At 40.6% G+C, this 27545-nt stretch overlaps 1 protein-coding gene across 19 annotated transcripts in view, besides 5 other annotated features; it reads left to right on the forward strand.

Moving 5' to 3' along the window:
* Positions 4496-4595: an enhancer, noted in NCBI's record as "active region_1173". NCBI's record gives its function as "activates an Ori minimal core promoter by ATAC-STARR-seq in GM12878 lymphoblastoid cells {active_cell/tissue: GM12878}" and the evidence as "EXISTENCE:reporter gene assay evidence [ECO:0000049][PMID:35858748]".
* Positions 4626-4675: an enhancer, noted in NCBI's record as "active region_1174". NCBI's record gives its function as "activates an Ori minimal core promoter by ATAC-STARR-seq in GM12878 lymphoblastoid cells {active_cell/tissue: GM12878}" and the evidence as "EXISTENCE:reporter gene assay evidence [ECO:0000049][PMID:35858748]".
* IL12RB2 (interleukin 12 receptor subunit beta 2) overlaps positions 4764-27545 on the forward strand; it is a 91361-nt gene continuing 68579 nt past the window's right edge. For 7 of the 19 annotated variants that reach the window (NR_047584.1, NR_047583.1, XM_017001203.2 and 4 more), the window contains exons 1-6: positions 4764-5367; positions 17733-17844; positions 19002-19289; positions 24135-24249; positions 25600-25784; positions 26987-27129. Coding sequence is in view for 17 of the 19 variants with exons in the window: in XM_017001203.2 (XP_016856692.1) it covers positions 17769-17844; positions 19002-19289; positions 24135-24249; positions 25600-25784; positions 26987-27129 (807 nt within the window). In the remaining 2 variants the exon portion in view is untranslated. Of the gene's footprint in view, positions 5368-5540; positions 5602-11312; positions 11401-17732; positions 17845-19001; positions 19290-24134; positions 24250-25599; positions 25785-26986; positions 27130-27545 lie in introns of those variants that run through there. The other 12 variants (XM_005270828.4, XM_047419668.1, XM_047419666.1 and 9 more) reach the window with 6 other exon arrangements.
* Positions 5136-5325: a silencer, noted in NCBI's record as "silent region_979". NCBI's record gives its function as "represses an Ori minimal core promoter by ATAC-STARR-seq in GM12878 lymphoblastoid cells {active_cell/tissue: GM12878}" and the evidence as "EXISTENCE:reporter gene assay evidence [ECO:0000049][PMID:35858748]".
* Positions 15417-15466: a silencer, noted in NCBI's record as "silent region_980". NCBI's record gives its function as "represses an Ori minimal core promoter by ATAC-STARR-seq in GM12878 lymphoblastoid cells {active_cell/tissue: GM12878}" and the evidence as "EXISTENCE:reporter gene assay evidence [ECO:0000049][PMID:35858748]".
* Positions 16256-16757: an enhancer, noted in NCBI's record as "NANOG hESC enhancer chr1:67784539-67785040 (GRCh37/hg19 assembly coordinates)". NCBI's record gives its function as "activates a minimal SCP1, AML or CMV promoter by ChIP-STARR-seq in naive H9 embryonic stem cells {active_cell/tissue: H9 hESC(naive)}" and the evidence as "EXISTENCE:reporter gene assay evidence [ECO:0000049][PMID:30033119]".

A 27545-nucleotide genomic window follows, 5' to 3' on the forward strand; every position in this document is an offset into this window, starting at 1 on the left:
TAAGCTGAGCATTCATTGTCCCTGTTCCACCATTTTATATCCTTGGAGCGGGGCAGGGCGAGGTGGGAGGTGCAGGTAACCTGGGTTTTTTACTTGTTTGTTTATAGGCTGTGGACCCAGAGGAGGCATATCTCACTAGGTAGCCACCACTGCTCATTTTTCAGAGAGCTTGGATCTCAGCTGGATGCCATGACTGGACAGGACTTTGGGTTGTCTCATTTGGGAAATCAGAGTATTTTCTATGTATGAGAAGCATGGAAAAAAAGGACATTTGAAGCCAGAAGAGTGGAATGTAGAAAAGAATCTTAATGATTATACATCCACATTTCAGAGTACTTCTCATAGGGCTTCTGTTGATGTACTCTACAACAAACCAAAAACAAACAAACAACAACGACAACAAAAATGAGGAACATATGTGTGGTTTTATGTGGGAATGTTTGTGAGAAATTTGCCTTTTATGCAAATCACTCTCCTTTTTATAAGAACTTGCCAAAGTTTTGCACCACCAAAAGTTCTGGCTCTGATGATCAGGTAACCAGCCATGACATGATGGAATCTGTGAATCCTGTAACATATGTTTAGATTTAGCTGCTAAGAATAGCAGAGCCAGTTTGTGAATAAAGTTTATGTTGTGTAGGACCCTGCAGCTATCACAGCTTTAAATTTACCTCATGTCTCACTTTACTCTTTAACCTTTATGTTCATTTAACAAGGCATCCAGCAATCTAAAGACCTCTCAAAAACGCACTGCTGCTCTCCAAGACATGGCAATTTCCATGTGGTTTGTTCATCTTTTTTTTTTTTTTTTTTGGACAGAGTCTTGCTCTGTTGCCCAGGCTGGAGTGCAATGGTGCCATCTTGGCTCACTGCAACCTCTGACTCCCGGGTTCAAGCCATTCTCCTGCCTCAGCCTCCTGAGTAGCTGGGATTACAGGTGAGTGCCACCATGCCTGGCTAAGTTTTGTATGTTCAACAGAGATGGGATTTCTCCATTTTGGCCAGGCTGGTCTTGAACTCCTGACCTCAGGTGATCCACCTGCTTCAGCCTCCCAAAATGCTGAGATTATATGTATGAGCCACTGAGCCTGGCCAGTTTGTTCCTCTATAAACAATGTTTGTGCTTGTTAAATGTCAGTTGTGGAGAAGGTATAAGTCTACATTTTAAGAATTATGGAGATTATTCATAATCTGAGAATCTGGTATTGCACTATTTTAATTTTATATAAACTTTTTCAATACATAACACTACAAATATATTCAGGAGTTATGTTGCTGTCCTATAAGTTTAATACTTTGGAGAGATGAGTAAAACTAACAAAGTAATAACTTTTAGAAATGAAACTTTTACAAAATGAAGCAGTTAAGGTTGAACAGTTAATCTTAGATTCTGAGTTTTCTCATTATAAGTAAAAGTTTAAAATGATGTTAAAACCGTCTTACCAAGTTTAACGAGTGCCAGCATTCATTTGATGCCCTAAATGACTATGTTAGCAACCACCTCCTAGTATTTATCCTGACAAGTGACACTTTAGGAAAAGCACATCTCAGTTATTCATAGAATAGTGTGATTACGTATTTTCAGGGTGTTTGGTATCAGCAATGAACCAAATTAGACATTTAAAGTAATGGAACTATACCAGAAATGGAAACTGAACTAGTATTTCCTAGAAAAGACTTTGTCACTGTCACTGTGGTTATCCACTTAATTGAGCTTTTGATTTACAAGTACATTCATTTACCTAACAGCTACACAGAAGACCATATCATACCCATAGACTTAAAAATGATTACATTAACAATCACAGTTGACATTTTGGGTTGTATATTAGGCTCTTGCTTCATCAGGCATCGTCTACCATCTAGGGTTTATTCTTTAGAAAGCACAGAAGCAAGTTTGTCTTTGTTGTTATTTTTGTTTTCATTGTTATTTTTGTTTTTGTTTTTTTCTCTAACTAGACAGGCAACCACTGACAAAAGCCATGCCTGTATTAGTGAAACTCCCAGATATTAATAGGAGGAGAAGGCAGAAAAAAGAAGTGGGGAAATAGAAAGGCCTCTACAGATGGTGATTTCATACAGAAAGGTTACCGACTTGCTAAGAAAAATTATATTTAATTTTCCAACTAATTTTTAACTGTCGAAAAGTGTGAAGATTGAACAACACCTACAATCCCGTTGAACTGGCCAAAAAGAATGGGATCTCTCCAGAACAAGTCAGTTCAACTCAGTAAATACTTATTGACTACCTGCCCTGTACCACTCAGTGTGCCAGATGCTGAAGATGAGGGATCCTTGCGTGCATAGAGTTTATAATCCAGGGAGCATGCAGGATAAGAGAACCACTGTTATCAATGGCAATCAGTGCAAGTCTTCACTTGATAATGTAAGTCTAAGTTAAACAATATACTGATGGACCTAGAGCATGATAATTTCTCAAATAATACTTATGTAAGAGTTGTCATCTTCTGACTTTTTTTTTCTTGCATCTAGGGAAAAGAAGAGAATAAAGAAGATTATCATTGCTACCTGCATCTTACTGTATTCTCATAATTTGTTGTGCTTGCTTAACAACCAGATTCAAGTTCTTTCCTCAACAGCTCTCATCTGTTCCCTCAAAGAATATGCCTTAGATGCATTTGAGACACCATTTTGTGTCTGACTTCTGCAATTTTGTAAGATGCTGCCATTAGAAGTTAATAGAGCAGTGGTCTTTCAACATTTTAGATGGTATACTCCTTCAGAAAAAAAAAAAAAGCATTTTTGAGAAACATCCCCAACATATGTTTGGTTGTTTTTTTATTTCCTTGAAAAACATATGTATGCCGGGCGCGGTGGCTCACGCCTGTAATCCCAGCACTTTGGGAGGCTGAGGTGGGCAGATCACGAGGTCAGGAGTTTGAGACCAGCCTGGCCAATATGGTGAAACCCCATCTCTACTATAAATACAAAAATTAGCCGGGCATGGTGGCGCGTGCCTGTAGTCCCAGCTACTCAGGAGGCTGAGGCAGGAGAATCACTTGAACCCGGGAGGTGGAGGTTGCAGTGAGCTGAAATTGTGCCACTGTACTCTAGCCGGGGCAACAGAGTGAGACGCTGTTTCAAAAAAAAAAAAACAGAAAAACATATGTATATTTATATGTGTGTATATACACACACACACATATGCACACACAAATATATAAATTAAATTTTTAAATGAGATAGAGTAAAATGCATTTTTGAAATTATTGATTTATTAACAAAACTAAAAGCCTTCCTTCTCACTAAAAAGTGTTGAAAAATCCATGAATTATGCAAGATTGTTATAACATTTGGCTATCATAATCTTATTCTTGATATCAATCAGTTTTTAAAGTAATGAGAAGCTGCTGCATTTTTATATTTTTTAACAAATGGATTTAAAATCCACTGAACTGCTCAATTAAAAGATTGAAACAAAATAGCAAATTGTTTCCGAGTTTTTAAAAGCATTTTCTGTGATGACAATCATAAAATCTTCAGTAAGAAAAACACACAATAATGGGAACACTTCGAAATATTTGTTTTCAAATCGTCTCTTCATAACAACGTATCACTTGGTGTGAAAATTACCTTGAAGAAACAACAAATAAACCTCTGGGGTTTTTTGTTCTTCAAAAAGATCTATTAGATAACATGTACTGAGAGCCATATATCAATACAGAAAAGATCAGCAAATTTAGGATATTTGGGGTTTTTTTGTAAAAATAAAGAAAATAACTCACTTTAAGACAACTTTTAAAATCTTTGTTACAAATGATTTCTACAATTATGTATCATCTCATTACAAAGTAATATTAAGATTCTAGATTCTACGATTTAAAAGATTTTAGTAAAATTATTCATGTAGATAAATTACTAAAGCATGTAAACTACAGTATGTCACAATCCCATAAAGACAATCTACTGTACATTGTTGATTCCAAGATGTACATTTTTCATATTTAACATCTCAAACATTGAGAGCGGTTTTAAGGTAATGCCCAGAAGCGTGGTATGCAGTTGTCCACTTCTGCGGGCTCAGCAAACCTGTACTGGGCTCAGTGGACTAGAAGAAAACTCCAGAGACAACGGGGTGGGGGAGGGGGGGGGACTTAAAAAAAAATTCGATAGATAATATACATATGTTTAAAATCTAAATTTTATTTAGAGATATCTAAATAAAATCTCTAAACTAAATAAAATTTTAGTTTAAAAGATTCTAAATGTTGAGAAAGCATTGTTATTGTTTACCTGGCAGTTCTTTTTATTTCTTACTAGCGCATAAATAATGGTATATCTTATAATTAAGGAAGTCTTAGATTTAAAGAAATCTAAGCTGACGGGTGCAGAGGCTCAGGCCTGTATTCCCTGCACTTTGGGAAGCCAAGGCGGGAGGATTGCTTGAGGCCAGAAGTTTGAGACCAGCCTGGGTAACAGAGTGAGAGTCTGTCTTTACAGGTTTAAATACAGTTTTTTTCTAAGTAATATTGTCATAAATATTATGTCATGAATATTATGCAGAGCTGCCGACCCCTCTGTACTCTGGGCAGTTTTCCCTCTTGCCTGAGAACACCACTTATAACACGGGACCTATACGGGAGTGGTGACACGCCATCTGTTCAAGTTTAACTTTTTTCTCATTTTTTAGACAGCAAATACAAATGGAAGTTCCAGTATGTTCTGCCCGCACTCCAGTGGGCGGTCTTGTGCACAGCCCACTTGGGAGGCCTCGGCGCTCAGGTGTGGTAAGAGCTGGGCGGTGCAGAGCACAGAGAAAGGACATCTGCGAGGAAAGTTCCCTGATGGCTGTCAACAAAGTGCCACGTCTCTATGGCTGTGAACGCTGAGCACACGATTTTATCGCGCCTATCATATCTTGGTGCATAAACGCACCTCACCTCGGTCAACCCTTGCTCCGTCTTATGAGACAGGCTTTATTATCCGCATTTTATATGAGGGGAAACTGACGGTGGAGAGAGAATTATCTTGCTCAAGGCGACACAGCAGAGCCCACAGGTGGCAGAATCCCACCCGAGCCCGCTTCGACCCGCGGGGTGGAAACCACGGGCGCCCGCCCGGCTGCGCTTCCAGAGCTGAACTGAGAAGCGAGTCCTCTCCGCCCTGCGGCCACCGCCCAGCCCCGACCCCCGCCCCGGCCCGATCCTCACTCGCCGCCAGCTCCCCGCGCCCACCCCGGAGTTGGTGGCGCAGAGGCGGGAGGCGGAGGCGGGAGGGCGGGCGCTGGCACCGGGAACGCCCGAGCGCCGGCAGAGAGCGCGGAGAGCGCGACACGTGCGGCCCAGAGCACCGGGGCCACCCGGTCCCCGCAGGCCCGGGACCGCGCCCGCTGGCAGGCGACACGTGGTGAGTGACCAGTGACTCGGGGTCGGGGACAGAGAGAGCCCCAGGATCCCGGACCAGCGGGGTGTCTGCGTGCCCGGGATTCCGTGTCTCGCGTCTCCCGAGGGGGCTTCGGCGACGGCTTCTCTCTTTATATATATATATGTATATATATATTTTTAAAGTCTTCCAATACGATCCGAAATGGCTTCTCTTCATCACAGTCCTAACGCCCTGGGCACAGATGTTCACTTGGAGGTACTGGGTGGTGGTTTGGCTGGATGGAGGGGAGGGAGCGCGCGGACTGAGCCTCCAAGGTACTCTCTGGGCCGGGGCACAGAGTGGTGGGCTCAAACGGAAGGGAGGGGACGGCGACTGGAAAAGGGCAGAGGGCACCCCTGAGGGTCCAGCCTTGGTTCAGGCCCACAGACGTGGCTCCCGTTGCTTGAAAATGTATCAAATGTGAGTAAGATATTGGGGGGGGCCTTCCGTAGTCCCGGATGAGGGTGAACTAACCTTGTCTCAGCAGTCTTTCCTGTGGCCTCTGGACTGACCCCGAGTCCCTGCCTGGCCAGTTACTAGCAAGATGCTCTGGTGCAAGCAAATTGGCCAGCCTCAGTTTTCTCTTCTGTGAAATGCCCCTTCCTTTGTGAACTATGAGGCCCTCCTCATCTCCCTAGGACACACTAAATATCAGTGTCAGCATTGTACGGGATTATGTATCTGTACCATTAGATCCAGGTCTTACAAATAGTAACCTAAAAGCATACAAATAGACCTTGTCTAAGAACAGGGTCCCGGCACGGTGGCTCACGCCTGTAATCCCAGCATTTTGGGAGGCCAAGGTGGGCAGATCACTTGAGGTCAGGAGTTCAAGACCAGCCTGGCCAACATGGTGAAACCCTGTCTCTATTAAAAATACGAAAATTAGCTGGGCATGATGACGCACACCTGTAATCCCAGCTACTCGGGAGACTGAGGCAGGAGAATTGCTTGAACCCGGGAGACAGAGGTTACAGTGAGCCAAGATGGGGCCACTGCACTCCAACCTGGGCAACAGAGCGAGACTCTGTCTTAAAAATAAATACATACATACATATACATATATATATATATACACACACACACATACACATATATATATAAAGAATAAAGCTAAATTAGTCCTTTTTTCCCCATTTTTAAAACTCTAGATAATTGTTATAATCTGCTATGTGTGTGCTCTGTGTAGATGAACATCTTTGTTGAGCACCTACTATGTATTTGGTTTTTGGATATATATTATCTAATTCCTTAAAAACATGGTGAAATTGTTATTAGTATTCCCATTTTACAGATGTGGAAACTTACATGTTTCACACAGTTAGAGAGTTACAGGTTTCTGGCTCAAAACTGTGTTCCTTCTGTTTCCACCTCTCTGGCTCAGAACCTTATAACCACCTCCACTTGAACAAACAAACGTTGGATTCTCATTTTCCATTAATAGGAATGGTACAGTGCCCTATTTCTCTGTCCAACACATAACTAAAAGGACCTTAGTGGCTAAGAGCTAACACTTTCCTTCCCTATTTTAATGTGAAATCCTCAATACATTACACTATCTGTTAGGCACAACAGCCTCCAGAAAAGTTTGCAATATGCTCTTTTCCATATGTCATGCCTCTTGAATGTCATGTTCATTACATAGGCTGATAAATTCCCAAACTTTGACAAACGGAATCTTTTCTGTATTAGAATGAGTTTTAGTGTGAAAAAAAATTCGAAAGCACACATGTAATTTTTAAGGTAGAAGAATCCGCCAAGTACAGTAGGTATTGGGCATCATTTCTCAGTTGTGGACTTATTTTTGTATTGCTGCACCTGCTTTGTTCTCTACCAAATTATTTGTCATCTTTGTAATTACGCTCACAGCACTGCTGTCAACTCCTACAAATAAATTTGTGCAGAATGGCGGGACACGGTGTCTCATACCTGTAATCCCAGCACTTTGGGAGGCCGAGGTGGGGGGATCACCTGAGGTCAGGAGTTTGAGACTAGCCTGACCAACATGGCGAAACCCTGTCTCTACTGAAAACACAAAAATTAGCGGGGCATGGTGGCACACACCATGTGGCATGGTAATCCCAGCTACTCGGGAGGTTGAGACAGGAGAATCGATTGAACCCGGGAGGCAGAGGTTGCAGTGAGCAGAGATCACGCCACTGCACTCCAGCCTGGGCGACAAGAATGAAACTTCATCTCAAAAAAAAAAAAAAAAAAAAAAAAAGCCAAATCCCAAAGGAAGTCTTATACAATTTCCTTTGCCCTTGGAAGTTTCTAGTGTTCTTCGCTAGTGTAACAGTGGTTTGTTTTTGTTTTTGTTTTCCAAATAAGTATTGAACATGTACATTATGGTCAGTGCATTTGCTGGACTTAGACTTAGTGAATATAAAGAAATGTAAGGCCCAGTTCATGACCTACGAAGTCAAAATTGTTTGGGAAAATTTTGAGAATACTTAATATGTCTTAAATGATAGGTGGCATGAAGTTAGGAGGTATGGAATCTAGTTTTAATCAAATCAGTCTTTCAGTGTTAAATCAGATGAATGGGCAAAGAGAGGAGTCAAAAGCAAGGCCATCTAACTTAATTCTCGTAGTGTCACTGAAAAGAAGTAATACTGCCTTTTTTCTTATAATAATAGCAGGTAACATTGATTGAGCTCTTGCTATATACCAGGTACTCTGCTAACAGCTTGTCATTTAACCCTCCCAACAATCCTGTGAGATAGGTGCTGGTTTTTTGTTTGTTTGTTTTTTGTTTTTGAGACGGAGTCTTGCTGTCGCCAGGCTGGAGTGCAGTGGTGCGATCTTGGCTCACTGCAACCTCTGCCTCCCGGGTTCAGGTGATTCTCCTGCCTCAGCCTCCCAAATAGCTGGGATTACAGGCGCACACCAGTATGCCCAGCTAATTTTTGTATTTTTAGTACAGACGGAGTTTCACCATGTTGGTTAGGATGGTCTCGATCTCTTGACCTCGTGATCTGCCCGCCTCAGCCTCCCAAAGTGCTAGGATTACAGGTGTGAGTCACCACGTCCGTCCAGTAGGTGCTGTTTGTATTCCCTTTTTACAGATGAAGGAACTTAGGCTGAGTGGTCAAGTGATTTGTCACAGGCCATATAGCTGGAATTATCCGAGCCAAGACTTAGGTGTCCTGGGCGGATCCACTGCTCTTTTCATTACTACTACAGTTGCTCAGGAGGCTCTTCTGGGAGCTTGGACTGAGGTGATGAGCGTAAACATGGTTCAATGCCTCTTGGAGGTAGTAGCTTTGTGGGTTTAACATGGGAGCCCTGAGGCATGCTGAGAATAAATGAGAGGGGTAAGCCTGTTCCTGCAGAATTTAAACCGATAGAAGAGGGAAAGCAGTTAGACTAACAGAGCATCAAGCTTGGATTTTTATTTCTCAGGTGCTCATGGAGAAGGGAAGCATAGAATGTAATTCGAATCCAATTCTGGATTTATGTGTGGTTTTTCTGGGTTATCTTGGTCAACTTACAGATTTTTCTATCTGTAGAATAGGATACTAATCATTACTTTATGTATTTGACCAAATATTAACAACTAAATTATATGCTTTGCACAGTGATAAACTACTAAGTAAATGCCTACAAAAGATTGTTAAAATTAGAATCTTAATTAACCTCTATTTTGCAATGATATGCAGGAAAAGCAACACATTAAGTAAAATATCAGGAGATACTGAGATGGAGGGTTGTTAGTGTAGAGACTTCAGCTGAATTCTTAATTTATATGAGAAACCTGGGGAAACATTGTGGCATGGTGATCACTACCCTTAGTTTTTTAATTCCCCTCCCAAGTGTGCCTCCAATTATCTTAAGATAATTGTGAAATTCTTAGAAAATTCTCAAAACAATGCAATTATCTTAATATGTTAATGCCTTGTAGTACTTTATGAAAATACTCAGTGGTTGCTTACAAGGTGAAGCAAAACTTGGCCAGGACTTTGCAATACCCAAGATCCAAAGATAAACCTCCTGCCATTGTCCACAAACAGAGACTTCCAGATTGAGGATGTCAAAGAAAAAACCTTTCCAATACACTAAGGAAGAAAAGTTAGTGAAAGAGGTTTAGTTTTCTCAATAAAGGTCAATTGCTATTTTTAAAATAAGGAAAGGAGGCTTTGAAGTATGAAGTTACCTGCCATGGTGACAGAGGCAGAAATGGAGGAACCAAGGATGGTGCCCGGGGCCTCTTTCCAGCACATCATCCTTCCCAATAGAAGACAGCTTATTTTATCGATAGGCCTAGCAGGATACAGAGAGTGAATCAGAGAAGGCTGGAGTTTCCGAAGCTTTATTGAACACTTGCCATGAAAGTTTTAGGCTTATGGGAGCTATTCAAAGAAAGAAAAGAGGTCATGTAGTTTATTTGAAAGTGTCTTGTTTCTCCAAGACTCCATTCGTATCTTGTTTCTTTCTTTCTTTTTACTGTTATATTGGAGAAATGCTTGTTCAATCTATAGGATAAAATAGTTCTCAGTACAGATGATTGAGGGGTTGGGGTGGGATAAATTCATTTCAACTCTGATTTGTTTACGCACAACATTTCAGGAGTCTATTATGTCAAATGGGATGTATCTAAAATGGAAATAAAGACAAACAGAATTGACAGAAACAACATTCCAGAAAAAATAGGAAAAGAAGAGAGAAAAGAATAAAGGAAGTTAAGAAAAAAAAAAAGCCATAAAGAGGGAAAGGAGAAAACACATTGAATTTAAAAAAAAAAAAAAAGGAACAAAAATTCGGAAGTCTCCTGAATTTGAGCAAGAAAAGAAAGTTCCTGTACTTGGGTGAAATTAAAGAGGAACCATAGGACAGCAAATGCTTACCAATGAAATTAGAGAAAATTCCAGGCAGCCTCGTCAGCTGCACAAAAAGGAAAACAAGTGTGTGTGTTAAATTTGGCTCATGTAAACAGTGCTTGGACTATTGAATAGAAAGAAGAAAAAGTAGAAAAGGTTATGCATTTTACTTTCCTTCCCCTTCAAGCCATTTACCATGACATTATGAATGGGGCCGGTTTGATGATGGGGCCTGATAGACGGGCTTTTGCCCATGTAATGGCTTGTTACATTCTTTCACCAAATGGTAGACTTGGAATGAAAAACAGTTCATTTTCATGACCATAACTCAGGAAATTTCATGAAGAAGAGAAGGTTAGCTAATTGGTAACTTGATTTGATTATCCTTTTCCATCACCATAGTGGAATAGCATCAGATACGGTTACATATTGTATGTGCGCTGAGTTTTGTTGTTTCATCCTCTTTTGAGGGAGGTGGGCCTCAGAAGTAATGAGTCAACCTTCTGAAGAGTAAAGCATTAGGCATTATAAATGCTTTACTAGATAGATATCATAAAGATTGTATGTAAGGTGCCTAGCATCGTGCCTGAAACATAGTAAGAGATCAAAAAATTGCAGCATTAGTATTAGTATAGTGTTAAGATTAGCATTATTTTTAGTATTATGCTGCTACTGTTGCTATTGATTACAAGCAGCCTCACATCTAGAAGTGATGTTGGATTAGAAATCAGGAGACTGGCCGGGCACGGTGGCTCATGCCTGTAATCTCAGCACTGTGGGAGGCCGAGGCAGGCAGATCACCTGAGGTCAGTTCAAGACCAGCCTGGCCAACATGGTAAAACCCCATCTCTACTAAAAATACAAAAATTAGCTAGCCAGGTGTGGTGGCGCATGCTTATAGTCCCAGCTGCTCAGGAGGTTGAGGCAAGAGAATCGCTTGAACCCAGGAGGTGGAGGTTGCAGTGATCCAAGATGGTGCCATTGCACTCCAGCCTGGGTGACAGAACGAGACTGCATCAGAGAGAAAGAGAGAGAGAGAGAGACTGAGGTTCTGATCTGGATTTTGCTATTAATGTGAACTTGAGCAAGTCCCCTCTTTTTTTCTAGGTCACGGTGATCCATTTGTAAAGTCGGGAATAAATGACCTCTGAAGTGTTGTCTGTATATTGATCTGCTACCAGTAAAACATATCTCTGTAAGTAGCTTTGCAGGCAGAAGGGAAGAATTTTGTTCTTTGCCTCATTTAGTCACCTGATCATTAACGACATTCATTTATATGACAACCAGCCTTGAGGCACACTTGAAACAATCATTTGGTTGTCTGTGGTAGCCCAGACTGAAATGTCAGCTGTTGGAGGGGAAGGGAGCAGCAGGGCACAGTAGTTACTAGTAACTCGTGTAGCTCCTTCCTCCCCTGACTTTTTAAGTTCTTTGATGGTCTTAGGAATTAAGATTTTTTTTACCTGGCCTAACAAAACATACAACTCTAGTACACTGAAAATCATATGTGATTTAGCAAAGAAATACAAACGAGGGAATCAGCAGGGGAAATAGGAACCAGCCTCAGTGGGGTTCTTACTTTGTGCTAAGTATTCTCATGAATCCATGACACCATGGACTGTTCACAATAACTTTGCCTTAATCGTCACCGTAACTTTGTCGAGCTAGGTATTACTATACCTACTGTAAGGCATGAGGAAATGGTGCTCTCACAGTCAATAGCATATAGCAGAACTGAGATTCATTCACCTTTTTCTTTTCCTTAATACCACTATTTCCCTTGACCTTAATACAGTGCTACAGAAGAAAAATAATTTGGAAGTAGAAAGTTTTTCTGCCAACATGAGATTATCACCTGCGAAAGGAAACTTAAGAGTTTCTTTTTTCCTAGCCTAGCACAATACAATTTTGAAGTAGCTTCATGCTTTGTGCTTCTCTCTAGAGCAATGGGGAAAGAGGCTGGTCAGGGAGTAATTGTTGTCTCTGTCTTCCTACCGGTCGGTGTATTTCTGGCTTGTTCCCGCCCACCCCACCCCCATCCCCGATCTGAGACGTTGTTTTCACCATCTGGAAACTGTCACAACTTGAGTGATGAGTCAATGACATAGCACACTCTTTGATTTTCTGATTCAAGACAGAGTTGTTGTTTTAATATTTACCCTCTAGGCAGGGTATGTGAAGGATGTTTACAGTTACAGTAGGTTTCATTTTATTGGAAGATACCTCATTTACTTGAAGGTCTTTGGGGATTCTGAACTTCTCATAAAAGGAGAAGCTATTTTTACCTGGTAGTCAGAGAAAATGAGCAAGTTTGTGTTTGGATCAATGTACCATTATATAAACTCAAATTTATCTTCCATTTTACCTATTTCATATAAATATGTATGTTTATATAATATACACATATATTTTAACCTATTTAATAATAGGACATAATATATATGAAAACATATTTCATATATATCCATTTTTTTAAATCCTTATAATTATCATATGAGTATTTTACTATTTGGAGAATGTTATAGCTTCATAAATTTTGATCCATGTTGAAAATTTCTACAAAGGGGCGCCATAGATATCTTTTGCAGTTAGGAAGCAGAAACCTACTTAATCCCTATGTAGCCATTCATTCAGTTATCTTCCAGTTCAATCCATAATTTTATCTATGCCAGAATATTCCAAATTTTAATGCAGCAGCTAACATAGCTACTATAGGGGTAGAAAAACTCCGCTCCATCCTCCTAGGGTCTTGGTTGAGTCTGAGGATTAAATTGACATTAGATTAACAGGAAAAAAATAATACAAATTTACTCAACAAATATTATGGGACATGGGAGACATGAAAAAATGAAGACCCAAAGAAGTAGAGTCAGTTACTTAAATATTGGATTGAGCAAAGAATAGTAACCTATAAAAATGTGACTAAATTATGTGGGGATGCCAAAGTCTGTACAAAATTCTCTTGGTCTCAATTTCTCATCCTTGAAGATAAAGATGTTGTTGACTTTCTAGTACAGGGAGTGTCTTTCATATGGGAGTTTCACCTTCTGATTTTAAGAAACAGCAGGGAAGTCAAAGTGATCTTCTTGCCCCTGCTGTTTTTCAAGTGCCTTTAACTCAAATAGTCAATATGTCAGAAGAGTATATTTTAACACCTTTACTAATATAACAAAAAATCCAACCACAATGTAGTAGAATAAGATTTAATGTAAGTAGTTTTAATGTAGTTGCATTAAACTAAACTAGAAGTAAAATAGATGAACATACACACACAATTTAAGTTTTATCCAGGACAGCACATGCCTACTATGTGCCACAAATTGTGGCCTCTGCCCCTGAGGAGCTTGCAAGGTAATGGAGGAGATAGACAGGTATCTAAATAAATTAGTTCTCTTTAATTATGGTACGTGCTAAGATAGGAAGATGCCAGGGTGCTCTGAGGATACTGGCAGGAGGGTTCACTCTGACCTGAAGACATAAGTAAGGCTTCCTGAAATCTGAACACTTCTTTCCATTGCCACTACAACACCTGAGGACCACGTCATCATCATTTTACCTGTGCCTCTGCAGTCATTTCCTAACTGGTCTGCCTGCATCCACCCTAGTCCCCAGAGTAGTGTGTGTGTGTGTGTGTGTGTGTGTGTGTGTTAATGTCACTCGTAGCTCGTTACACCCTCAATTAAAACTCAATTAAAATAAGTAAAATTCCTAATTAAACACCAGTGGTTTCCCATACATTTGAGAGTAAAATCTAGGCTCCCTTTTTTCGCAAACAAGTCCATAGTAAATCTGGCTCCTGATGTCTTCTCTAATTTCATCACATACCATTCTCCCTGCAGTCACTTTCTCCAACAGCCCTGACCTTATTTCTGTACCTCTCCCTTGGCAAGCTCGTTCCTCTGCCTCCAGGCTGTGCATTCACCATTCCTCTGTGAGGAAAAGTGTTCCCACAACTTCAGTTGGCCAGCACCAATTTTAGCCCAAGCTTCGCCTCCTGCAAACGCCTTTGTTGACAAGTTTCTATCCTCCCCAGGGTCCCTCCTCTTTTATGTCCTTCTTTTATTATTACCTGAACTCACCAGTTTGTTGCTTATATTTTTGTTTTTTGCCTGTCTACTCCAGGATGTTGTTTCCATGAGAGCTAAAATCCCTTCTGTCTTGTTCTTTACCGTATCCCAAGGACTTGGCACTTAGCAGCTGCTTAATACATATTTATTGAATGAATAACTGAATGAAAGGTGTCTGAACTGAGTTTAGATGGATGAATAAGACTCACCCAGTCTAAAAATAGTGGGAAAGTAAAGAGAATAGCATGAAGGGAAGACACAGAGGCATGAATAGGCATGGGACGGGCAGGAGTATAAGCAGCTCAGTGTCATTAGATGGTAGTGTCAGCAGAGAGTGGTGGATGTGGCTGGTGATAAAGACAGAAATTAGCTCACAGAGGCCATTGTATTCCATGACCTTGGACTTTTTGGTTTAGAGACAGGGAGACCTGCAGATTTTGGCTTAAATCTGTGCTTCTCAAACATTTTAACAGTGACTCACAAGAAACACATTTTATGTATCTGAACTGAGATCCATCCCCAGCTTTTAGAAGCTGTCACATTCATTGGCTCGTGGCTCCTTCCACCACTTCAGAGCCAGCAGCAGCAGAGCGAGTCCTTGGTACCTCATATCTCTCTGACCCACTCTCCTGCCTTTCTTGTACACTTTTAAGGGCTCCTGTGACTATATTGGGCCCACTTGGTTAATCCAGAATAATCTTCCCATCTCAAGGTCCTTAACTTTAATCACGTCTCCAAAGTGTCTTTGCCATGTAGGGTAACCTGTTCACAGATTCTGGGAATTAGGGCATGGACATCTTTGGTGGGCCATTTTCCTGTCTACCACAGGGATGTTTATAGGGAGTTTTCTAAAGATCATATTCCTTTCCCTCCTTCGCATCTTTCTTTCAATAGACATTTGTTGAGTACTTACTGTTTCCCAGTGTTAAGTGCTGGTATTCAACAGTGAGCAAGGTAGTCAATGTTCCTGCTCTTATGGGGCTTATATTCTAGTATAGAAGACAGATGACAAACAAGTAATTAAGTAAAGGAATAAGGCAGTTACAGATTGTGCCATGAAGACAGTAATAAGGTGATGAGTAAAAAATCAACTGGGGAAGACCACATTGGTCAGGGAGGGCGTCGGAGGGATAGAGACAGTGGTCAGGGAGGGGCTGTCTGGGGAAGTAACACATGAACTGAAATCTAAAGGGTGTAAATATGTCAGCCACACGAAGACGCAAGGGAAGAGGATTCTAGCAGAGGACATGGAAAATGCAAAGTCCTCTAGGCAGCAAAGGGCATTGTTCAAGGAACAGTCTGAAGGCCAGTGTGAATGGAGCAGAGTGAACCAGGCAAAAATGTAAGCGATGATGGCAAGATGGGAAGAAGTGAGGCCATGCAGTGGCTGAGAGATTGTGTGTGGTATGGGCTGTGGATATTTTTCTAACAGCAGTAGGGACCCGTTGAAGGGTTTCCAATAGTGGTGGTGTGCAGGGGGTAACATGATCTGATTTATGTTTTTCAAAGATAGTTGGCTCTGTGAAAATGGCTTAGAAAGGGCAAGGATGGTTTGGAAAGACATGTTGACGGCTAGAATAGACTAGGGGAGAGATGACAGTGGTTTGGACTAGGGTGAGGGGACAGTTGGAATGGAGAGAAGTGCATTGATCTGTAACATATTTTGGAGGTAAAGTTGATGGGACTAGAGATGGTTTAGCTGTAGGAGATGAGAAAAAGGTTAGAATCAAAGATGACTTCTAGGTGTTTTTAGCCACCTGGGGTAAGAATATCATTCGCTGAGATAGAAAAGGCTGAAGGAAGAATGAATTTGGAGAAAGGGTGCCAAGAATTTAAACTGAACACCTTAATATTGAGAATCTGTTAGACATCTAAGAGGTAATGCCAAGGAGACAGATGGATGAGACTGGAGCTCAGGGGGATGTGTGAGTTGATCTACTCTGAAATCTTTAGCTAGCAGATGACATCTAGAGCTAGGGGACCAGGTGAAATCCCCTACAGAGAAAGTAGAAATGGAAAAAAAAAAAATACCTTGAGTGAGCTAAGGTCCTCCAAGAGTTAAAAATCAAGAGGAAAACAAAGAGTAGCCAGCAAAGACTTATGCTAACATTATTTAGGGTTTTCCTGAATGATGGCTAGGCTAGAGGTAGAGGAAACAAAGGGCGCTTTCCTAGAACCCCACAGGGACAGGAGTGCTTTGTCTCTAGCACTTAGTGTGCCTAGCACATGAAAGGCAGCCATCCATATTGAATGAATAAGTGAAATTTTCTGAAGCTCTTCAATATTTTCTGGCATATGTCTAGGTATGGGGTTAAGAGGTAAACTTTTGCTTTGCACTGACTACTTTTTAGTGGCCTGACATCACAGAACTTCCCAGCCTACTTTATGAATTTTTGGCCTATCTTTAATAGAATTTAAAGAATTTGTTACTGACCAGTAGAGCCATTCCTTGGGTTTGAATTTGAAACAGATCAGAAATTGCCAGCTTATGTTTTCTGACCTATTCAAGATAAAATCATTCTGTAAAATAAGTAATTAAAAAACAAATAAGTAAACAAGCTTCTCTACAAAACCCAAACAACCCTTGGAATTCCTTTTTTACTGCCAAAGAGATCAATCTTTTACTAAGTTCCAGATGGGTTATGAGCCATTTTTCGATCTACTGATTCCAGAATCACTTGACTGGATCAGAAACTCTCACTGGTCAAACTACTCTGTATGGTATGATGATGAAGCCTTGTTTAGAAGGAAAAGAAAAAGAAAAGTGTTGTGTGGGACTAAGTCTCAGACAGGTTAAGCAACTTGCACATGGTCTCAAGTATTTAAACCCAGTTCTAAAGGACCCCAAAGCCTATTGCTGTGGTCTGAATGTTTATGTCCCCCTCAAATTTATATGTTAAAATCCTAACTCTCAAGGTGATGATATTAGGAGATGGGGTCTTTGGGAGGTGATTGGGTCATGAAGGTAGAATTTTTACGAATGGAACTAGTGACCTTATAAAAGAGATCCCAGAGAGCTCCGTTGTCCCTTCCACCATGTGAGGTCGCAGCAAGAAGGCCCCATCTATGAACCGTCTATGAAGTGGACCCTCACCAGACCCTGAATCTGCTGACCTCTTGATCTTGAACTTGCCAGTCCCCAGAACTGTGAGAAACAAATTTCTGATGTTTATTACCTACCCAGGTCATGGTATTTTGTTACAGCAGCCCAAATGAACTAAGACATCCAAATTCCTTCTCTAATCCTTTGCTGACCCCAAGAAGTCTCACTGAGATGGGATTTGGAAGGTGGCTAAGATATTCGATTTACTAGTTTTAAAGGTACATGTCATTTTTTAAAATAACAAGATCTCAACAAGGTGGAGAAAAATAAAGCGGCACTTGAAGCTCTTCTGAGCTATTTTGGCTCTGGTATTTTCTGAACATATTTAACATGAATGAATTTGTCTTCTTTTGCAAGGAAGAATACGGAGTTCTATACCAGAGTTGATTGTTGATGGCACATACTTTTAGAGGATGCTCATTGGCATTTATGTTTATAATCACGTGGCTGTTGATTAAAGCAAAAATAGGTAAGATATTTCTGTAAGTTACTCTGTGGAAGAATTTGTGGTTTAAATTCTCAGTTACAGATGAAGTATGTATTTGTGGTAAATGTTCTGGTAGTTGGTCTTTTGTAGTCAATCTCTGTCATTTAAGTGGATAAGTCTGGTTCTGTCTATAACTAATAGTTATTTTATTTAATTTGCACTAATGATTAATATAAGGGTCCAATTATTTTATTTCTTCCTAAGAAAGTGGCTTGGTAACCCAGCTAGGCATCACAAATACATGTTTTACATTTCAGCACATTTTTCTTTTTTTTCTTTTCTTTTTTTTATTATACTTTAAGTTCTGGGATACATGTGCAGAATGTGCAGGTTCGTTACATAGGTATACATTGTGCCATGGTGGTTTGCTGCACCCATCAACCCGTCAACTACATTAGGTATTTCTCCTAATGCTATCCCTCCCCCAGCCCCCACCCCATGACAGGCCCTGGTTCGTGATGCCCACCCCCACCCCCGTGTCCATGTGTTCTCATTGTTCAACTCCCACTTAAGAGTGAGAACATCCGCTGTTTGGTTTTCTGTTCTTGTGTTGGTTTGTTCAGCACGTTTTTCTTCCTGCCTCCCGCCGTCCACAAGTTTGGTTTGTTTTTTTTTTCTGAGACAGGGTCTGGCTCTGTTGCCCAGGCTGGAGTGTAGTAGCACAATGTTTGCAATACTTTTTTAATACTCTTTTAAAACTGTCTTTTTTTTCTTGGTACAAGTATTTAAGTAAAAATTATAAATCATAAATGGTGATGGAAACAAATGTGTTTTTTTCTGGGAAGGCTTTAGTAGTCTGGTAAATAATTTGCATATAAGAGAGGCTGGTTTTTCCCGGAACTGTGTTCCTGAATGTTCTTCCAATCCTGCTTTCTAACCACTTTCCTGGTTATAGTTCTGATTATAGTATTACTGTTATGAGACGGATGCATATTTTCATTCAAATACAGTTAGACTTCAATATGTTTACCTTCTGTTTTCATTGTACATCACCATTATAACCAGAGACATGTAGGTTAATTATATTTGCATGATCTGATGGAGTTAATTTTACCCTGTTTTGGGGAATTACATAAACTCTTCATTTTGAAATGGGTTTATTATCACCAACTAAATATTGCATCTGTATCTTATTGCAGATGCGTGCAAGAGAGGCGATGTGACTGTGAAGCCTTCCCATGTAATTTTACTTGGATCCACTGTCAATATTACATGCTCTTTGAAGCCCAGACAAGGCTGCTTTCACTATTCCAGACGTAACAAGTTAATCCTGTACAAGTTTGACAGAAGAATCAATTTTCACCATGGCCACTCCCTCAATTCTCAAGTCACAGGTCTTCCCCTTGGTACAACCTTGTTTGTCTGCAAACTGGCCTGTATCAATAGTGATGAAATTCAAATATGTGGAGCAGAGATCTTCGTTGGTGGTGAGCATTCCATTTTGAATTTTTAAAACTTGGTGATCTTTTGGTATTTTTGATCTTTTGGTATTTGGTGTTAAACAGAAACCCAAATACAGGTTAATGTTCTTTCTTTTCCCACCACATTGAAGTATTTTATCTTGATACCGACCTGAGAGCTTCAATGTGAGTTCAGAAACTGGAATCTTATTTGGCAAGTCTCTCTCTCTCTCTCTCTCGCCATTAAAACCATTTATCTGTTGTCCTTAACTCCAGTGGCAGAAAAAATGGATCTCTGCAGGTGGGTCTTTATGCTTTTTTGACTTAGGAGAATATGTTTAAAGCTACAGCCTCCTAAAAAGAAAGAAGAGATGTCTTTTTAGACTTATGCAGCCCAGGATGACTACACAGAGTTGAACAGCACCTCTCGTCCTATCTAACTTAATGCCTCCCAAAATAGTTCTTCCATCCATGCTCACCCGGACCACTGGTTCTCATACTTAACAGAAGGTAAAAGAAAACATTGATCATACTTACTATCTTTTCCTCAGTTCTCTAGGAAACTGACTCCAGCAAAAAAAAAAAAAAAAAAAAAAAATCTGCTAACAATTCATGGGAAGGGGGCATGGGGCAGAGGAGTTACACAGCCCCAGGGAGGCAAGAGGGAAGGAGTGAGCCAGGAAAGGGACAAAAGCAAATGCCAGGTGGTAACATCACTGGACTGGCCACAGCTTCAACAGAAAATGCAGCTGGTTGTTTATACACTTAGGGACATTCCCAGAAAGAGCATATAGAAATCTCATGACAAGAGAAAGAAGAACTTAACTATCTCCCACTGGCCAAAGTCCACCTGACGGGGGCTCAGTTTCCCACACTGCTGACTTGCATTGCTGGTCCCTTCAGGCAGCTGCTGGGGGATTAGAACTAAAGTGTCAGAGTTGACATCTGCAGCATGAGCCACAGTGCACAGGATGAACCAGCAGCCAGCAGCACACCTACCTGCAGTTCGCAACCTGTGGCCCATAGCCTTGCAGGTCCAACCAGGCAATCCTATAAGCAAGCATGGGCCCTGAGGGATTCCATGGCACCCTGTGCCTCAGTGGTTCCAAGGAAGCTTTGGCGTGGCAGACAAGAGTCATGAAGAGACTAGGAAGAATTGCTCTAGCAGGCTGGCTGACCAAGCCTCATAGACATCATCTCTGTCATAAAGGCAGTGATATAGAGCTCAATGAGACTCTGTCCAGGAAAGATGGAAACCTCCTCTCTGTGACCTATAAGGATATATATATATAGTTGGTGCCAGGTGATTTTCCTGGAGGGCCACCAGAAGCACGGAGCAGAAGACCAAGCAAATGGCCAAGCAGATCATTGGTAGGAAGGAGGTATAAACTAGGCCAAGTACTCACCTTCCAGCTCAGGGCCTCCTGTTCACACCACTGTGAGTCATATACTCTCAGCATTGACAGCCTGCGGTATAGTAGAAGTAGCATGGGCTTTGAATCTCAACTCTGCCAGTGGCAGTGTACTTTAGACAACTTAAATTATCTGAGCCTCAGTTTCTCCATCTGTATTACGAAGATAATAACATCTACCTCATGAAATGGTCATAGTAATTAGAAGACCTCTTATATGCAAAGTGCTTAATCCCATACAAGGCACATGGGAGGCATTCAGGTGACGGCTTTAGGCTTCTCAACAGCAACCTGGAATGTGGGAGGCAACAAGAGTCCTGACTACAAACTCTTTTCAACTTAGAATTCTATACTCAAAGTATCAGTCAAACGTGAGGGTAGAATAAAGACATTTTAAACTATGCTCAAAATATTTCCTCGCATGCACCCTTTCCCAGGGAACTACTGGAGGCTATGCTCCACCAACCCAAGTAATTAGACAAGAAGGAATAAAACATTAAATCTAAGAAACAAGACAGCCAAAGGAAAAACAGAAGGAACTTAGGAGACATTGAGGATGAGCAGTCCCAGAATGACAGCTGGGTACCAGGCATGGAGACAACCTGTCTTATATTGGAAAATTCACAAGGCTCCAAGAGAGATCCTCAAGCAGATGAAATGGATAGAAGTCCCAATACATTGCAGTATATTGAACAGTGATTCAGATAATTGGCTTGCAAGTTTGAAATTTTATTAACAAGAAAACTAAACAAATGGAAAAACAAGATAATTACTAATTCTAAGAGTAAAAGTTGTACAGAAAATGAAAAGTTAATATAGTATTCTATATGGCTCAGTCACGAGTAGTGTGTGTATATGCAAAAGTATACACTGTGTAAATATATATATAAACATATCTAAATGTATATATGTACATGGGTACGTATATATACACAAGGAAGAGACTTTCGTTTGTTTGTTTGTTTTGAGATGGAATCTCAGGCTGTTGCCCAAGCTGGAGTGCGGTGGCGCAATCTCGTCTCACTTCAACCTCTGCCTCCTGGGCTCAAGCAATTCTTCTGCCTCAGCCTCCCAAGTAGCTGGGATTACAGGCATGCACCACCATGCCCGGCTAATTTTTGTATTTTATTAGAGAGGGGGTTTCACCATATTGGCCAGACTGGTCTCTAATTCCTAATCTCAGTGATCCGCCCCCATCAGCCTCCCAAGTAGCTGGGATTATAGACACGCACCACCATGTCTGGCTAATTTTTGTATTTTTAGTAGAGACAGGGTTTCACCATGTTACCCAGGCTCAAACTCCTGGGCTCAAGCTGTCTGCCTGCCTCGGCCTCCCAAAGTGTTGGAATTACAGGCATGAGCCACTGTGCCTGGCCCAGGACTCTAACTTTTAAGTATGAACTTGTAAGTTAAAACGACTCTCAGACCACCTGTGTGGAGTCTCTGAGAAAAGAGTAAACTATTTTAATAGTCCAGGGAGAAGTGATCAAGTCCTTATCTAGGACAGTGGCAATGGGAACCAAACATGGGAACAGACAGCTTAAACCTGGTGGAAGTAGGATCCACTGAATTTGATGACTAACTGGATGTAGAAAATGAAGAAGAAATGTTGAGAAAGACTCTGATGTTTCCAGTCTATATGTCTTAGAGGAAGCTGATGCCCCAGGCAGCTTCATAAAATGGAACAAGAATAGATGTTGAATCAGAGAGAACTAGCTCAAACTCAGCTCTACCACTTACTAGCTCTGTGACCTTCAACATGTTACCTAACATCTCTGAGCCTCAGCTTCTTCATCCATTATATGAGGTTAATCTGAATGCATCCCTCTTGAGTCATTTATACAGATCAAATGGGGTCATGCACCTAGTGTGCTTAGCACAGAGTGTGGCACATAGTAAGAGCTCAAAGGTTTGTTGTTGGAATTTATTGGCAACATTCCTTTATTCTACTTCCAGCAAGAGCCTCCAGTGGTTTTGTGTTGTTGTTGTTTTTTTCTTTCTTTTTTGAGGCAAAGTCTCACTCTGTCACCCAGGCTGGAGTGCACTGGCACAATCTCAGCTCGTCGCAACCTCTACCTTTTGAGTTCAAGTGATTCTCACGCCTCAGCCTCCTCAGTAGCTGGAATTACAGCATGTGCCACCATACCCAGCTAATTTTTGTATTTTAAGTAAAGAAGAGGTTTCACCATGTTGGCCAAGCTAGTCTCAAACTCCTAACTTCAAGTGATCTGCCCACCTCAGCCTCCCAAATTGTTGGGATTACAGGCGTGAGCCACCGCATCCAGCGAAAAGAGACTTTTTTAAAGGAAAAGTTTATTATTCTATTAAAACTATATGAGCTAGATATCATTATACCCATTTTATAGATTCAACTGAAGCTCTGACTTGTCCAAGGTCACACAGTGGGCATTCCTGTGCCTATGTCTATGGTGGATGCTAAGGACAAAAAAGATATTTATTTAATCAATAACAGATTTTTTCAGTGTAGACAATAGCTAGGACTTCTGTAGTATACTCATTTTATCTAACCTAAAGGAAATATGTATCTACACGTGGGTCTGGGTATTAGGGTAAAATGGGATGACTGAATAGCTGAGTATTTCTCTTACCTCCATTTTGTCCAAAAAATTCCTAGTTTGGGTCCTTTCACCATAAAATAGCTTTATTTAAAAATACACACCTTACAATAGAAGGGACCATGCTTGCTTTGTACATCTTTGTATTTCCACATCTAGCACTGTGCTTGGCTCGTGGGAGGTACTCAATGCCTATGTACACAAAAGAATTAATTTATAAATGTCCATAAAGTGCTCCAAGAGACAATGCAGAAATTAGATTTAGATGGTATAGCCCGGGAGGACATGACTGAGGCAACTGGGTGTAAGTGTCTTGACAGCAAATATCAGGTGAAGAAAGCAAATAAGTCTCTCATTTTTAAAGGTTTCTAATATTTGAATGGGCATCACTCTAAAAGAAATTAATTTATTATTACCAGGGGTAATGGAGCTAGCACTGGATGTTCACCTGTCAGGGAAAATGGTAGAATATGGAGTAAAAGGCTTGGACTTGAGTTACAGCTGAGCTGGAGCCTTGAATCTGCCACTTCATAATTTTATGATCTTGGGCCAGATATTTCACCTCTCTCAGTTTCCTCTCTGAAAAAAAATATAATAATAGTATCTACCTCATGGGGTGCTACGCTGTCTAATTCAGAAAAACTGCACATAGCACTGGGCTAGGCATATAGTATTTGATCCATATTCACTACTATTATTACTGTTTCTAGGAGAAATTTACACCTTAATGGCAAACTGGGACTTGAATGGAATCTAAAATAGCTTCTAGTTTACCTGGGTTTACGGCATGTGGGGGACGTATTGTCATGTTGATGGCAGATAATAACAATTCGGTTGAAATATCACCTGTGTGATATATAAGGTTTTGTCTTTTCTTTTTAAAGTTGCTCCAGAACAGCCTCAAAATTTATCCTGCATACAGAAGGGAGAACAGGGGACTGTGGCCTGCACCTGGGAAAGAGGACGAGACACCCACTTATACACTGAGTATACTCTACAGTGAGTGAGAGGCTGTATTTTTGCAGCTGTTTTGTAGATCTTCTCTTAAATGACATTTAGAAATATCTGTTTTCTTTATTTATTTTTATTTTATTTTATTTATTTATTTATTTATTTATTTATTTATTTTGAGACGGAATCTCACTCTGTCACCAGGCTAGAGTGCAGTGGCGCAATCTCGGCTCACTGCAACCTCTGCTTCCTGGGTTCAAGTGATTCTCCTGCCTCAGCCTCCTGAGTGGCTGGGATTACAGGCACCCACCACCACGCCCAGCTAATTTTTGTATTTTTAGCAGAGACGGGGTTTCACCATGTTGGCCAGGATGGTCTCGATCTCTTGACCTCGTGATCCACCCGCCTCAGCCTCCCAAAGTGCTGGGATTACAGGTGTGAGCCACGGTGCCCGGCCTATCTGTTTTATTTTTACCAGAAAGGAGAAGCAATAGATACTTCTAGACAATTAGATACTTTTTAAAGAGTTTCTATGTTTATAGTTAAAACTGGTTCATTCATCTACAGTATGAGAGACCGAATGTCTTGGGTCTGAGTTCTAACTCAGAGTTCTCTTCAGTGCATCCAAGATCCAAGTTATAGCTGTTCTTTCCCACTCTAGTAGGGTTAAACTGGCTGCATAAGATCGCTTCTCTTTTCTGCAGCTGTAGGCTCTTGGGGTCATGATACATAAATAAACTCTTCCTTGTGGTAGTTTCCCATTCGCTTGGATAAGTTTCTTTTTAAAGCACCATTGGCTGACCTAAGAGTCCATGAGAAGAGAGAGTCTGGGAGATTCTGTTCCTTGAAGTAGATTTCATGATCCCATTAAAGATCCAGCTGATTTGTGCTATTCCTGAGTGAGGAGGAGATGGAGGAAAGGAGGGGTTCTGTAGTACATTTACTTTTTCTAACCTAAAGGAAACATCTATTGACACGCGGGTCTCAGTATTAGGGTAAAATAGCCCAGGATTCTACTCTGGCCACTGCTGTACTAGGAACTGACAATTCTGTGCCACAGATGTCAAGGTGGCCACAGTGCTTAGGATAATGTTTGGAACTGCCCTGGGGAGCCAAGATGACAAGCAGGGTTTGGGGAATTTCAGCAGCGTAGGCTTGGTTACCTATCTACATGAATGTGGAAGAACATCTCAGTTCTACCAAAAAAGGGAGTTGGGTGAAGTATAGTCTTACATGACCATATAGTACAAATATTCCCGGGGTGTATCCCCTAGTCATAAGATTGACCTTTAAAAATTGTCTAGAATTCTAAATATTTAAACATTTTGTTCTTTTCTACTGTAAGTAGAAAGTAGCACATAAAACATGTTGCTACACGTGGTTGTGTTTTGTTTACAGGCTAAGTGGACCAAAAAATTTAACCTGGCAGAAGCAATGTAAAGACATTTATTGTGACTATTTGGACTTTGGAATCAACCTCACCCCTGAATCACCTGAATCCAATTTCACAGCCAAGGTTACTGCTGTCAATAGTCTTGGAAGCTCCTCTTCACTTCCATCCACATTCACATTCTTGGACATAGGTACATTTTATTTCACTGTTTCATTGGTACTTTATAATTATTTTTAAAATCACTCAAATCTTTTTTATATGGTTGTTTCAAGAAAGACAGAGATTGATGGAAATTGGCCAACAGGCATAAGCAAAAGATAGAAGTTACTTTGATGCAAGTAAAAGGGTGCATTATTCTGAGCTATCTAAAGATGGCTATACAAAGTGGGATGTTCAACATTATTCTCTCTATTGAAGAAATTAGCCCCTGGATTCAAATCCCATGAAAGAACCAGCTACTAATGATACCACCTGACTGAGGAGAGGGTCCTGTGAGGTCATTCAAGATGCTCAGTGCAAGCCCTTCTTGGAGGAGGTGTCCTTTCGCCCCCATGGCTACTCCCATTGTTGTGAGATAGGCTACATGTGGGCCTGCTAGGCTAGAGCAGCGAGGTACAAACTATAAATAAAATTTCTCAAGTCACAGATGCATCTTGCTCTGAGAATACTCACCTCCATCCCTGGAGTGAGCCAGTACATTTCTGAGCAAATGTAATCGGTCCAGTTGAATCAGAGGCCAATCTCAAGCATTCCAAGTTCTGACCATCCAGGCAGAACTGGGCTGCCTGAAGTTCCAACCTCACACTATGTGCTTCTCGCCTCTCTTTCCATGGCACTTCTCTGCATACATATTGCTAACGATGAGTCTGATCATTGGCATTTACTATACACTTTTCCACCATATTTCTTCTCAGGCTTCCTCCCATTTCTTTCATAGACCGTTCATCTCTAGGCTACCTTCTCGCCCCCTTGTTCTTTTCCTCTGTCCCTTTGCTATGAATTTTCCTACGAACATTTCTTCTCCTCCTGAGGCAGTCATCACTAGCCGTCTCTGGCTTCTCAGTCATTGGAACTCTTGGGTTTGGCACATTGGTTTTTGAAAAACCACTGGACTAAGTGTAGTTGAAACTTACCACTAATGTTGGTAGTAGTTATTTGGTGAAAATGAGATTTGATTAAGGGGGATTATTTTAAAGATTCAGAAGTGAATCCAGCTTTTAAAAAAGTTCTTTCTTAAAGCCTGGAACTTTTCTCTTGTATATTTTACCAAATTTGATGGTTGTGCATCTCAGAACTGAGTTTTGTCAAACTCTTTATAGCTCATGCCAGTACATAAGACAATTGCTGATCACAGATCCTGAACCACACTTTTTTGTTTGTCCTGGTTACTAGTGAGGCCTCTTCCTCCGTGGGACATTAGAATCAAATTTCAAAAGGCTTCTGTGAGCAGATGTACCCTTTATTGGAGAGATGAGGGACTGGTACTGCTTAATCGACTCAGATATCGGCCCAGTAACAGCAGGCTCTGGAATATGGTAATTATCTTTAGAGTGAAGGAAAAAACACTGAAGCATTCTTAATATTGCTGCGCAGACCTCTGTCTTTTCATACAGCAAAAAATAGAGTTTAAGAATATTTATCCCAAAAGTACACACGAGAGAATTATCAGAAAGTCATGTATGCCTCTGTTGATTAAGAAATATCTTGAATTTTGATCTCTGATTCTGAAATTTTTAAAGCTTTTGTAAACCAATATTAATTTTCTATAGTTTATTTCTAACAGAGGATTCATTTCTCCTTATTATTTACCCTGTCCTGTTATTATTTTTTAGCATTTAAAAAAGATATTGAAAAGAGAAATATTAAGAAATGTCCACAGAGAGTTATATAGAATTTAATATTCCAAAGAAAAGGTCTACAATTTAATATAATATTAGGCATTGCATGTTTT

The sequence above is a fragment of the Homo sapiens genome, chromosome 1, assembly GCF_000001405.40.
Source record: "Homo sapiens chromosome 1, GRCh38.p14 Primary Assembly".
NCBI classification, from domain to species: Eukaryota; Metazoa; Chordata; class Mammalia; order Primates; family Hominidae; genus Homo; species Homo sapiens.